The sequence below is a fragment of the Homo sapiens genome, chromosome 16 (genome assembly GCF_000001405.40).
Source record: "Homo sapiens chromosome 16, GRCh38.p14 Primary Assembly".
NCBI classification, from domain to species: Eukaryota; Metazoa; Chordata; class Mammalia; order Primates; family Hominidae; genus Homo; species Homo sapiens.
In genome coordinates, this window is record NC_000016.10 from 47,906,555 (window position 1) to 47,921,180 (window position 14,626).

At 39.6% G+C, this 14,626-nt stretch overlaps 2 long non-coding RNA genes across 2 annotated transcripts in view; one reads left to right on the forward strand and one right to left on the reverse strand.

Annotated features, from left to right (window-relative positions):
* LINC02133 (long intergenic non-protein coding RNA 2133) overlaps positions 1-1,877 on the forward strand; it is a 49,851-nt gene extending 47,974 nt beyond the window's left edge. The window contains exons 5-6 of the long non-coding RNA NR_110650.1: positions 585-737; positions 1,235-1,877. This is a non-coding gene — a long non-coding RNA (long intergenic non-protein coding RNA 2133). The remainder of the gene's footprint in view (positions 1-584; positions 738-1,234) is intronic.
* On the reverse strand, positions 936-13,571 carry LOC124903685 (uncharacterized). The gene is made up of 2 exons (XR_007065061.1): positions 13,453-13,571; positions 936-1,360 (listed from the first exon to the last, which is right to left on the reverse strand). It is a non-coding gene; the product is annotated as an uncharacterized LOC124903685 (long non-coding RNA).
* Between the last annotated feature and the right edge of the window lie 1,055 nt (positions 13,572-14,626).

Below are 14,626 nucleotides of genomic sequence, written 5' to 3' on the forward strand. Positions count from 1 at the left end.
TACATTTGTTTTGGGAAAGGAAATAAACAAACCAGTGGTGGATGGAGGGCAGTGGGAAAGTGAATAATCCGGCTAATAGTGAACTAACCAAGGTCAAGCTGCTTGGAATCAGAGGAAGATGACTCCTGCCTCCTCCTCCCAAAAATTCAAGTCAAGAGTTGATTCTAATCCTCTGCAGAATCTGTCCTTCAAGTCAGACCTGCTTTGGAGGAACAGAAGGGCCTAGATAATTTCTTAACATTTGAGAAAAATTATAATTTGATAAAGACATTTTATATTCCTGGTGGCAGCAGTTCATCTGTAGAAATGATTTGAGGTCTGGGGGAAAATAGCTATGTTGAAAAAAGAGTTGCTGAGACACTGAAAAGGACAACGTGAGCAAAACTTAATTAGGAGTAAAGGCTAATGGAATGGAAAGGGAGGCAGGATAAGTTCATTTTATTAATAATAAACCTGAACTTAGGGAAGGGAGAGCAGATGGAAAGAAAGGAACGCGTAATGCGTTGTTTCATTTCCTCTGAATAAAGTGTGGTGTGCTGAAATGTAACAAGATTATCCATCTGCTTTTGTCTAAATAAATTCAGGGTTTTCACAAACGTAGTGAATTTTCAGCTTGTAATTTGCTGTCTCCGGTGAGCGCGGTGCTGAGAAGACCCGTGATGCTCTCTTTGAAGCCCATTTGCGGCATGCCCCAGGCCTGGGACCTCCATTAAGCACCAGGGCCTCGCCAAGCACCGGTGAGAACGCTGGAGTCGTGGGGCTCTCAGCCTGGGTGGGATGCTCCATCACGGCAGCTGCCCGGGGGCTGCATGGCACAGGGTAGTGGAGAAGGAGAGTGGTCTGGATTTAAGGGATGGGGCTAGAGCTGCAGGATGGCTCTCTTTATTTGCATACTTTGGAGTAAGATGAAAAGCTCTTCGCACCTCATTCACCACTCATTTACTTCTATGCCTTTATTCACAAAGTTTTCTCTACCAGAAATTCCATCTCTCCTCTACTTCTCCCCCCTAAATTCTATAGTTTTTAAAAGTCACTTATTTCCAAGTGCCTTCTTCAATGGCGTTGGAACACACAGATTTATTTCTCATATCCTGGAACTGTTGCTCTGTTACTTGGTGAATTCAACCGTTCAAGCAGTTATTTAATTCCCTGCTTTGCTTCTTCACCTTCTATGTGTGTATGTTTTTAGTTTTGAATATGACTGTAACTTCCTCCTCTTTCCTTCCTTTGACAGATATTTGTTGAGTACCTTCCATTTGCTAAATACTGTGCTTTGAAGGCACTGGGAATTCAATGATGAGCAAAGTAGATATGGTCCTTGACCTCATGGAGCTTGAGGGAAAATGAAGAAGACATTCACCTAAATAAATAGATAATTGCAAAATTTAATACATCAAATTTAAGTCAATATTATTGAGATATAATTACATACAATAAAATTCACACATATGAAGTCTATAGGTCAATGACTTTTGACAAATGCCACCATTTATGTAACCAACATCCTAATTAAGATATAGAACATTTCCATCATTTCCATCTCTCCAAAAGCTTCCTCACATGCCTTCCCAGTCAATCTCCCCGTATCTAAATCCTACTATCTGCTTACCACCTCTGATTATTTTTGCCTACTTTAGAATTTCATATAAATGGAATAATACAGCATACATTGTTTTGTGTATGTTTTCTTTCCCTCAGCCTAATGTCTCTGAGATTCCCCCATGTTGCTGTGTGTAGCATGACCTGTTCCTTTATATGGCTGAGTATGTACATAAGGGTGTACCACAATTTGTTTATCAATTCACCTGTTGATGGACATTTGGGTTGTTTACAGCTTTTGTCAATTTTTAATAAAGCTTCTGTATACATTTGTGTTCAAGTCTTTTTGTGCCATATATTTTTCTTGAAAAAATACTTAGGAGAGGAATGGCCAGGTTATATAGAAAGTACATGTTTAAGTTTATAAGAAACTGTTGGGGTTTCTCAAGGTTTCCAGCATTTTTATACTCCTACCAGCATCACATGAAAATTCCAGTTGCTCTATGTCCTTGCCAACATTTGATGTTTTTATTCTTCGTTAGTCATTCCAATGGAAGTGAAATAATTATTTCATTGTGGCTTAAATTTGCATTTCCCTGATAACTAATGATATTGCATATATTTTCATGTAGTTATTGGCTTTTCAATATTATCTTTCATGGGGTATCTGTTCAATCCAGCAATATATTTTTTTTTGAGATACAGTCTCACTCTGTTGCCCGGGCTGGAGTACAGTGGTGCAATCTTGGCTCACTGCAAGCTCCTGGGACTACAGGCGCCCGCCACTATGCCTGGCTAATTTTTTGTATTTTTAGTAGAGACGGGGTTTCACTGTGTTAGCCAGGATGGTCTCGATCTCCTGACCTCATGATCTGCCTGCCTCAGCCTCCCAAAGTGCTGGGATTACAGGCGTGAGCCACCACGCCCAGCCCAATCCAGCAATATGTTTAAAACATAATGCCTCATAACAAGGTGTGGCTATCCCAGGAATGCAAGGCTGGTTTTATATTCTACAATCAAGCACTGTAATTCACTATGTTAATTAAACCAAGGAAGGCAACTACAAGATTATTTTAATAGATGCATAAAAAGCATTTGATAAAACTCAACATCAATTTATGATAAAAAAACTCTCATCAATCTTGGGGATAACTTATATTTTTAAAATATTGAGTCTTCCAATCTTATTAGCATTATATATCTCTTCATTTTTAGATCTTAGATTTCTTTAAGAAACGTTTTATAGTTTTTATTGTACAAGTCTTGTACATATTTTGTCAAATTTATCCCTAAGTGTTTCACATTTGCTATGCTACTGTTAGTTGTGTTATTAATCTAAATTTTCAATTTCGTTCTTTAAATAACAAAGTTGGAAGACTCAACTATGTGACTTGAATACTTACTATAAAATTGCAATGATTAAGACAATGTGACATTAGTATAAAGACAGTGTCAGTGAAACAGAATAGAGTCTAGGAAAAAACCCTACACATCTATGGTCAATTGAGTTTTGACAAAGAAGTCAAGGAAATTCAATGAGAAAAGTATAGTCTTTTCAACAAATTGTGCTGAAATTTGGGACAACTGGAAAAAACAATATTTTACACTATAACCAAAAATGAATTACAAATGTATCATAGACTTCAACACAAGAGATAAAGTTGTAAAGATTTTTCATGAAAACATAAGAGAAAGCTTCATGACATTGAGGTAGACAAAGGTTTTTTGGAGATGCTCTGCTTTTACATAAAGTAAGTTTTTAAAAACTTGACAAATTGGATTTCATCACAATTAAAAGGCGATTCCAAGAAGGCTGAATAGGAACAGCTCCAGTCTACAGCTCCCAGCGTGAGTGAGGCAGAAGATGGGTGATTTCTGCATTTCCAACTGAGGTACTGGGTTCATCTCACTGGGGCTTGTTGGACAGTGGGTGTAGTGCACCGAGCATGAGATGAAGCAACGCGAGGCATTGCCTCACTCAGGAAGTGCAAGGGGTCAGGGAATTCCCTTTCCCAGCCAAGTGAAGCTGTGACAGATGGCACCTGGAAAATCGGGTCACTCCCACCCAATACTGCACTTTTCCAATGGTCTTAGCAAACAGCACACCAGGAAATTATATCCCACGCCTGGCTCAGAGGGTCCCATGCCCATGGACCCTAGCTTAGTGCTGGCACAGCAGTCTGAGATTGAACTGCAAGGCGGCAGCGAGGCTTGGGGAGGGGCACCCACCATTGCTGAGGCTTGAGTAGGTAAAGCGGCCAGGAAGCTCAAACTGGGTGGAGCCCACCACAGCTCAAGGAGGCCTCCCTGCCTCTGTAGACACCACCTCCAGGGGCAGGGCATAGCCAAACAATAGGCAGCAGAAACCTCTGCAGACTTAAATGTCCCTGTCTGACAGCTTTGAAGAGAGTAGTGGTTCTCCCAGCACACAGTTGGAGACCTGAGAACGGACAGACTGCCTCCTCAAGTGGGTCCCTGACCCCCAAGTAGCCCAACTGGGAGGCACCCCCAAGTAGGGGCGGACTGACACCTCACACGGCCAGGTACCCCTCTGAGATGAAACTTCCAGAGGAACAATCAGGCAGCAACATTTGCTGTTCAGCAATATTGGCTGTTCTGCAGCCTCCACTGCTGATACCCAGGCAAACAGGGTCTGGAGTGGACCTCCAACAAACTCCAACAGACCTGCAGCTGAGGGACCTGACTGTTAGAAGGAAAACTAACAAACAGAAAGGACATCCACACCAAAAACCCATCTGTACATCACCATCATCAAAGACCAAAGGTAGATAAAACCACAAAGATGGGGAAAAAACAGAGCAGAAAAGCTAAAAATTGTAAAAATCAGAGTGCCTCTTCCCCTCCAAAGGAATGCAGCTCCTCACCAGCAACGGAACAAAGCTGGACAGAGAATGACTTTGACGAGTTGAGAGAAGAAGGCTTCAGACAATCAAACTTCTCCGAGCTAAAGGAGGAAGTTTGAACCCATCACAAAGAAGCTAAAAACCTTGAAAAAAGTTTAGACGAATGGCTAACTAGAATAACCAGTGTAGAGAAGTCCTTAAATGACCTGATGGAGCTGAAAACCATGGCATGAGAACTATGTGATGAATGCACAAGCTTAAGCAGCTGATTTGATTAACTGGAAGAAAGGGTATCAGTGATTGAAGATCAAATGAATGAAATGAAGCAAGAAGAGAAATTCAGAGAAAAAAGAGTAAAAAGAAATGAACAAAGCCTCCAAGAAATATGGGACTATGTGAAAAGACCAAATCTACGTCTGATTGGTGTACCTGAAAGTGACAGGGAGAATGGAACCAAGTTGGAAAACACTCTTCAGGATATTATCCAGGAGAACTTCCCCAACCTAGCAGGGCAGGCCAACATTGAAATTCAGGAAATATAGAGAATGCCACAAAGATACTCCTCGAGAAGAGCAACTCCAAGACACATAATTGTCAGATTCACCAAAGTTGAAATGAAGGAAAAAATGTTAAGGGCAGCCAGAGAGAAAGGTCGGGTTACCCACAAAGGGAAGCCCATCAGACTAACAGCAGATCTCTTGGCAGAAACTCTACAAGCCAGAAGAGAGTGGGGGCCAATATTCAACATTCTTAAAGAAAATAATTTTCAACTCAGAATTTCATATCCAGCCAAACTAAGCTTCATAAGTGAAGGAGAAAAAAAATACTTTACAGACAAGCAAATGCTGAGAGATTTTGTCACCACGAGGTCTGCCCTAAAAGAGCTCCTGAAGGAAGCACTAAACATGGAAAGGAACAACTGACACCAGCCACGCAAAAACATGCCAAATTGTAAAGACCATCAATGCTAGGAAGAAACTGCATCAACTAATGAGCAAAATAACCAGCTAACATCATAATGACAGGATCAAAGTCACACATAACAATATTAACCTTAAATGTAAATGGGCTAAATGCTCCAATTAAAAGACACAGACTAGCAAATTGGATAAAGAGTCAAGACCCATCAGTGTGCTGTATTCAGGAGACCCATCTCACATGCAGAGACACACATAGGCTCAAAATAAAGGGATGGAGGAAGATCTACCAAGCAAATGGAAAACAAAAAAAGGCAGGGGTTGCAATCCTAGTCTCTGATAAAACAGGCTTTAAACCAAAAAAGATCAAAAGAGACAAAGCCATTACATAACAGTAAAGGAATCAATGCAACAAGAAGAGCTAACTATCCTACATATATATGCACCCAATACAGGAGCACCCAGATTCATAAAGCAAGTCCTTAGAGACCTACACAGAGACTTAGACTCCCACACAATAATGGGAGACTTTAACACCCCTCTGTCAACATTAGACAGATCAATGAGACAGAAGGTTAACAAGGATATCCAGGAATTTAACTCAGCTTTACACCAAGCAGACTTAATAGACATCTACAGAACTCTCCACTCCAAATCAACAGAATGTACATTCTTCTCAGCACCACATCGCACTTATTCCAAAATTGACCACATAGTTGTAAGTAAAGCACTCCTTAGCAAAAGTAAAAGAAAAGAAATTATAACAAACTGTCTCTCAGACTACAGTGCAATCAAACTAGAACTTAGGATTAAGAAACTCACGCAAAACCACTCAACTACATGGAAACTGAAGAACTTGCTCCTGAATGACTGCTGGGTAAATAATGAAATGAAGGCAGAAATAAAGATGTTTTTTGAAACCAATGAGAACAAAGACACAATACACCAGAATCTCTGGGACACATTTAAAGCAGTGTGTAGAGGGAAATTTATAGCACTAAATGCCCACAAGAGAAAGCAGGAAAGATCTAAAATTGACACCCTAACATCACAATTAAAAGAACTAGGGAAGCAAGAGCAAACACATTCAAAAGCTAGCAGAAGGCAAAAAATAACTAAGATCAGAGCAGAACTGAAGGAGACAGAGACACAAAAAACCCTTCAAAAAATCAATGAATCCAGGAGCTGGTTTTTTGAAAAGATCAACAAAATTGATAGACCACTAGCAAGACTAATAAAGAAGAAAAGAGAGAAGAATCAAATAGACTCAATAAAAAATGATAAAGAGGATATCACCACCCATCCCACAGAAATACAAACTACCATCAGAGAATACTATAAACATCTCTACACAAATAAACTAGAAAATCTAGAAGAAATGGATAAATTCCTGGACACATACACCCTCCCAAGACTAAACCAGGAAGAAGTTGAATCTCTGAATAGACCAATAACAGGCTCTGAAATTGAGGCAATAATTAATTGCTTACCAACCAAAAAAAGTCCAGGACCAGACGGACTCACACCCGAATTCTACCAGAGGTACAAGGAGGAGCTGGTACCATTCCTTCTGAAACTATTCCAATCAATAGAGAAAGAGGGAATCCTCCCTAACTCACTTTATGAGGCCAGCATAATCCTGATACCAAAGCCTGGCAGAGACACAACAAAAAAAGAGAATTTTAGACCAATATCCTTGATGAACATTGATGCAAAAACCCTCAATAAAATACTGGCAAACTGAATCCAGCAGCACATCAAAAAGCTTATCCACCATGATCCAGTGGGCTTCATCCCTGGGATGCAAGGCTGGTTCAACATATGCAAATCAATAAACGTAATCCAGCATATAAACAGAACCAAAGACAAAAACCACCTGATTATCTCAATAGATGCAGAAAAGGCCTTTGACAAAATTCAACAACATTTCATGCTAAAAACTCTCAATAAATTAGGTATTGATGGAACATATCTTGAAATAATAAGAGCTATCTATGACAAACCCACAGCCAATATCATACTGAATGGGCAAAAACTGGAAGGATTCCCTTTGAAAACTGGCAGAAGACAGGGATGCCCTCTCACAGCACTCCTATTCAACATAGTGTTGGAAGTTCTGGCCAGGGCAATCAGGCAGGAGAAAGAAATAAAGGGCATTCAATTAGCAAAAGAGGAAGTCAAATTGTCCCTGTTTGCAGATGACATGACTGTATATCTAGAAAACCCCATCATCTCAGCCCAAAATCTCCTTAAGGCAATAAGCAACTTCAGCAAAGTCTCAGGATACAAAATCAATGTGCAAAAATCACAAGCATTCTTATACACCAATAACAAACAAAGAGCCAAATCAAGAGTGAACTCCCATTCGCAATGGCTTCAAAGAGAATAAAATACCTAGGAATCCAACTTACAAGGGATGTGAAGGACCTCTTCAAGGAGAACTACAAACCACTGCTGAACAAAATGAAAGAGGACACAAACAAATGGAAGAACATGCCACGCTCATGGATAGGAAGAATCAGTATTGTGAAAATGGCTATACTGCCCAAGGTAATTTATAGATTCAATGCCATCCCCATCAAGCTACCAATGAATTTCTTCACAGAATTGGAAAAAACCACTTTAAAGTTCATATGGAACCAAAAAAGAGCCCTCATTGCCAAGTCAATCCTAAGCCAAAAGAACAAAGCTGGAGGCATCACACTACCTGACTTCAAACTATACTACAAGGCTACAGGAACCAAAACAGCATGGTACTGGTTCCAAAACAGAGATATAGACCAATAGAACAGAACAGAGGCCTCAGAAATAATACCACACGTCTACAACCATCTGATATTTGACAAACCTGACAAAAACAAGCAATGGGGAAAGGATTCTCTATTTAATAAATGGTGCTGGGAAAACTGGCTAGCCATATGTAGAAATCTGAAACTGGATCCCGTCCTTACACTTTATACAAAAATTAATTCAAGGTGGATTAAAGACTTAAATATTAGACCTGAAACCATAAAAACCCTAGAAGAAAACCTAGGCAATACCATTCAGGACATAGGCATGGGCAAGGACTTCATGTCTAAAACACCAAAAGCAATGGCAACAAAAGCTAAAATTGACAAATGGGATCTAATTAAACTAAAGAGCTTCTGCACTGCAAAAGAAACGACCATCAGCATCAACAGGCAACCTACAGAATGGGAGAAAGTTTTCGTAATCTACTCATCTGACAAAGGACTAATATTCAGAATCTACAAAGAACTCAAACAAATTTACAAGATAAAAAACAACCCCATGAAAGAGTGGGCAAAGGATATGAACAGATACTTCTCAAAAGAAGACATTTATGCAGCCAACAGACACATGAAAAAATGCTCATCATCACTGGCCATCAGAGAAATGCAAATCAAAACCACAATGAGATACCATCTCACACCAGTTAGAATGGCGATCATTAAAAAGTCAGGAAACAACAGGTGCTGGAGAGGATGTGGAGAAATAGGAACACTTTTACACTGTTGGTGGGACTGTAAACTAGTTCAACCATTGTGGAAGACAGTGTGGTGATTCCTCAAGGATCTAGAACTAGAAATACCATTTGACCCAGCCATCCCATTACTGGGTATATACCCAAAGGATTATAAATCATGCTGCTATAAAGTCACATGCACACATATGTTTATTGTGGCACTATTCACAATAGCAAAGACTTGGAACCAACCCAAATGTCCACCAATGATAGACTGGATTAAGAAAATGTGGCACATATACACTATGGAATACTATGCAGCCATAAAAAAGGATGAGTTAATGTCATTTGTAGGGACACGGATGAAGCTGGAAACCATCATTCTCAGCAAACTATCGCAAGGACAAAAAAACCAAACACCGCATGTTCTCACCCATAGGTGGGAATTGAACAATGAGAACACTTGGACACAGGAAGGGGAACATCACACACCAGGGCCTGTTTGGGATGCGGGGAGGGGGGAGGGATAGCATTAGGATATATACCTAATGTAAAAGACGGGTTAATGGGTGCAGCACACCAACATGGCACATGTATACATATGTAACAAACCTGCAGGTTGTGCACATGTACCCTAGAACTTAAAGTATAATTTAAAAAAAAATCTGCCCCCTCAACAACAACAGCAGCAATAACGATATAACAAAAAAACACCGTTAAGAATTTAAAAGGGCACGTCACAGACTGGGAGAAAACATATGGAAAATATATATAAAGCATACTTGGCAAAGGAGTTGCATCCAGAATATATAAGAAATATATATACACACACACTCAATAAGAAGGAGATACAGCTCAATAAAAAGTGTAAAAACGGCAAATTATTTGAACAAACACTATATAGGAATGACCAAAAATCACATGAAAAGATGCTCAATATCATTAGTCTTCAGGGAAATGCGAAATAAAACTCCAGTGAGACACCTCTTACATCCACCAGAATGTGCTACAAATAAAAAAAATCCCAGGGGTTGGTGAACTGTAGAACAACAAAGTAGTGCAACCACATTGGCAAATGGACAAATTTTGTAAAGTTAAACATGCACTTACAATATGACCCAGAAATTCCAGTCTCAGACTATTACCCAAGAGAAAGGAAAACATACTTCCTCATGAACAGTTGTATACAAATGTTCATAGCAGCTTTATTTATAATAGACCAAACTGGAAACAATCCAAATATCTCTCACCCAACGAATGGATAAACAAAGTGTAATTCATCCATGTTATGGAACATACAAAGCCATAAAAAGGGACAAAAACTGATGCACACAAATGGATGAACTTCACAGACATTTGCTTAGTGAAAAATGCAGACATGAAAGACTATATGTGACATGGTTTCATTTATATGAAACTATAAAAAAGGAAACTCTAACATACAGTGACAGAAACAGATCAGTGATTTTCCAGGGCTGTGGGTTGGGGAGGAGTTAACTGCAAAAAGTCAAAAGGAAAATTTCTGGGGTGACCTTAATGTCCTATATTTTGATTGTGTTGGTTATGTGGGTGTATACCTTTGTCAAAGTTATTGATCTGAGCACTTAAAATGTATGCAATCTTTTGAAAGTGCATTATGCCTCAATAAAGTTGAACAAAACACCCACAAACAGGCATGGACCCACCAGAGATGATTGTCTATGCACAACTCCTCTCTTTCCCGCTACTGTTTTCCCAGTGAGAAAATGGAATCAGCACAGGCGTGTGTCCTTTTGGAGATTCTATTCATCCTGTGGGAGCATGTTAGAAACTTGCTGGGGTGCTAGTGATTTAGTTCTGCATTATGCTGCAGAAAATTAAATAAGAAGTGGATTCCATGTGACACCTGCATTTATTAGCAGAGAAAGAATGGATCTGCTAAGAGTGACACCCCATTGTGTAGATGTCACTTCTGATTGTCAAGTTGCAGAAAACATTCAGGTAAGTCCTCAGCTTGTTAAACCTGAAAGAGCTGTTTACAGGTTTTGTATTTTCCTCATGTGAACTAAAGCATTCCATTTAATTTGCAAAGGCAGAACAGGTTTTCTTGATGGCTTTGTTCCTTTGGGATGATTGCTGAGAACCAAGTTTAACAGTGCCTATGGATCTGGTCCTTTCTATTAAAGACAGTTTGAGTCTTAAATTGGGGGCATCCAGAGTGCCAAGAGTTGCAGCACATCCAAATTATAATGCTATGTCCACTCAAAGATATCCAGTCATAACTCCTCCAAGAGAGGTCAGAAGAGAGCTCAACATGGCTACCCTTCTTTGTAGCAGATATTCCACTGTGAACAAAACTCTACTTCCCTGACTACACATGCCTTTTTGCCATGGTCAGGGTTAGCACAGCTCTTTGGGCATGCCAGGAAAAGGGAGACAAATCTCACAGAGGAGTGCAGCCACACTGTCAGTGACTGGAGGTTGTATAATATTGCTTCAGTAGAGAAATGGACAGCAGAATAACTCACTAGGAGTACCGGGTCTCTTGGAGTCTAACATTTTCACCCAAAGCAAATTTTAATGAGCAAAATATTTGATGTTGACTACTGAGGGGTCAACTCTTTGATTTTAGGAGGAGTGCAAGACCTGGAAACAGAGATAACTCAAGGGGATCTGCACTGTAGCTGGGGTTAGGATGCATTGAATGATGTCAGATGAGCCTCTTAGCTCTTCTTATGCAGTTTCCTTCCTTATGAATTAGGTTAAAATCTGATACTGTGAACCAGTTGGCAGCCATTTCTTCATCCTTCAGTTCCCCCAGCTTGAGATTTCTGCCTTTGCTTACCGCCAAGGTGGAAATAAAACCTAAGTACCCCCAAAGAACTCACTCACATAAAGAGTGTAATGAGTGTTGATGAAAAAAAAACCAAACTCTGTCAAATATTTAAAGGGTTTGTTCTGAGCCAGTATGAGTGACCATGGCCTGGGGAACAATCTGATGAGGTTTTGAGAAAGTGTGCCTGAGGCAGTCAGGTTACAGTTTGGTTTTACACATTTTAGGGACACAGAACATACAGGCAAAACAATAAAACAATACTTGTAAGGTATAGATTGGTTTGGCTGGCAAAGGCAGATCATTTTGAAGTGGGAGTGGGGGTGGGGGTAAAGTAGGGGAGTGGGAGGGGTGGGGGGGTGTCATGACTTATAGGTCATAGGTGAAGTCAAAGGTTTTCTGATCAGCAATTGGTTGAAACAGTTAAGCTTTGTCTAAAGATGAAGTCAATGGAAATAAATGCTTGAATTAAGACAAAGGAGGTTGTGGAAGTCAAGGTTCTTACTATGTAGATGAAGCTTCCAGGTAATAGGCTTCAGAGAGAATAGATGGTAAATGTCTCTTTTTGGACCTTAGAAGGTGTCAGACTCCTAGTTAATCTCTCCCCCACAAACGATGGCTTTGCACAGCCTTTTAAAAATATATCAAATAAATATATTTTTGTATAAAATATTTTGATTTCCTTCAGGGTCTGCTATCCATCATGTGATGCTATACCAAAGCCAGGTTGGAATTTGGTACCTAACTGCCATGAAGAGTGTTTTGTAAGCCTTATGATCTCTATTTTAATGTTGATGCTGGTCAGTTGTGCCTAAACTCCAAAAAAGGCAGGAGTATAATGAAGTGTGTCTGACCTCCCTTCCTGTCTTGGGCTGGAATTTAGTTTTTCACGTTTCTCTGGGAGCCCTTTGGCCAGGAGGGGTGTCCTTTCAGTCAGTTGGGGAGCTTACGATTTTATTTTTGGTTTACATGAGCAATGGCAACCTTACTGAAAATCCGGTAAAGAAAAGGAGAAAGGGGTTTCATTGCACTTCCCACATTTAAGGAATATTCCACAGGGACCGTGTTTGAGCAAGGTGAATGTGTGTGTGAGTGTGCACATTCATGAAGAGTGCATGTGTTTAAGGTTCTTGCTCTTCTTTCCTCTAGTACTCAGAATCCTCACTTCTCTTTCACCTCCTGATATTCCACCCAGGACTTCATAATTCTCTATCCTCTATCAAGCACAGCAATTCTGCCTACCTTTCACCCTATTTTGTTTACCCAAACTCATCTGGGAGCTCAGCAAACCAAATGACCTCCAGGCAGCAAGACTCCCTCATTTAGAAGATGGCTTGGTGATCATCCTTTTGTAGTTGGACATGATTTGGTGTTTTCCCCTTGCATGTTGAATAACTTATAAAAAATTTCTGTATTTCATCAATTTGAAGACAGACTTTCTCACATTTTAACTTCTCTGAAATTAGAATGCAACTTAACAATAAAAGACATCTTACAATTGTAAGTGACAGCATTTTTATTTCTTAGCATTTTAGGTTTGATTACATATGGCATTTCCTCCAGCTGAATACGGGACTATTTCTTTCCAAGAGCAATTATGATTGTTATAAACTTATTATGTAAAATTTTCTCTGCCTCAAAGCAAAAAATAACTCATAGCCCATGGAGTTCAAAGGGCTGGTTAACAAATTATATACATAGCTATGTCCATCCCTGCTCCTCTCCCGTTCACTCTAACTCTTACACTGCAAAGGACAGAGACAGTTCGAAATAAGGGGAGGACGTGGTCTGTTTGTCTGCATTAAGTAGGATTCCATTCAGGAGGAAGGAGTCATCAGTGGATTTGAGACTTACCTAGTAAAGAGGTGATTCTCAAAGAATCTTCTGGCAAACTTGTTAAAAAGTGTGACACTCAGGGCCGTATTTCTGATCATCCCAGTCACATCTCTGAGGATGGTGCTTTAGAATCTGTGCTGCAAACAGGGGATTTTAATTCGTACGAATGTTTGAACATTAGATTATTACTTTTGGGAAAACCCATCATAGACCAGGCACTTCCATTTAAACTCACTATCATTAAAAACTCTCCAGACTCTTTAAGCACATGCATTAGTCCTATGTTTGCAGTGGGGAAATTGAGGCATAAATAGCTTGAATAACTTCCCACGTCATCACTTAGGAAGTGGTGGAGGCTGAATATGAACTCTATCTGTCTGACTCCAGGGCTTTCCAAACCCCATCTGGTCTGCATTGAACACAAAACATGATTTGTGCAGCCTTTTCGAAACACAATTGGACAAAGCCTATTGAAACTTAGCATGCCTATTTCCCTAACTAAGCAATTCTATTTCTAGGAGTTATACTATAGAAATAAGCATTAGCACAATCTCACACACACACACACACATACACACACACAGACACACATGAATATTCACTGTAATACTAGTTGTAATAAAAAAATCAGAAATAATCCATAGGCCCACCAACAGAGGGGAGTCAAATTATGATACTTTTATACTACGAAATACCATGTAGCATTTAAAAAGATGTGCATCTATATGTGACAATATGGAAAGATCTCTGAGACATATGATTCAATGTAAAAAGTGAATTTAAGTGCAAAAATGTAGAAAAGAATGCCACTTATGTAAAGTTTAAAAAGCCTTTGTATGCTGTGTCATAAATGAAGACATCTTGAGAGGTAAGTGGCACTGGAGGTGGCTGGGGGTGGAAATATGGAGGTGGACATTACTCACAAGTTTGTTTATATTGTGTTAATCTTTAACCACGAGAATTCAAGTGCCAGGTAAAATTTAAATGTAAAGAAAAGGCAAACATGTTTAATAAACTGCTTACACACTCCTTTTCAGCCCTGAGGTTAGGTACAGACAGTGGCTGAGGACTGTAGTCTCTGCAGAATAGCACATATAAAGGATCCTTGTTGTTTCTTGTTATGAATTATGTACTCTGCCTAATGGGTAGCTTGTTTTTTTTTCCTTATCCCAAATCAGAACTGTGAAGTATA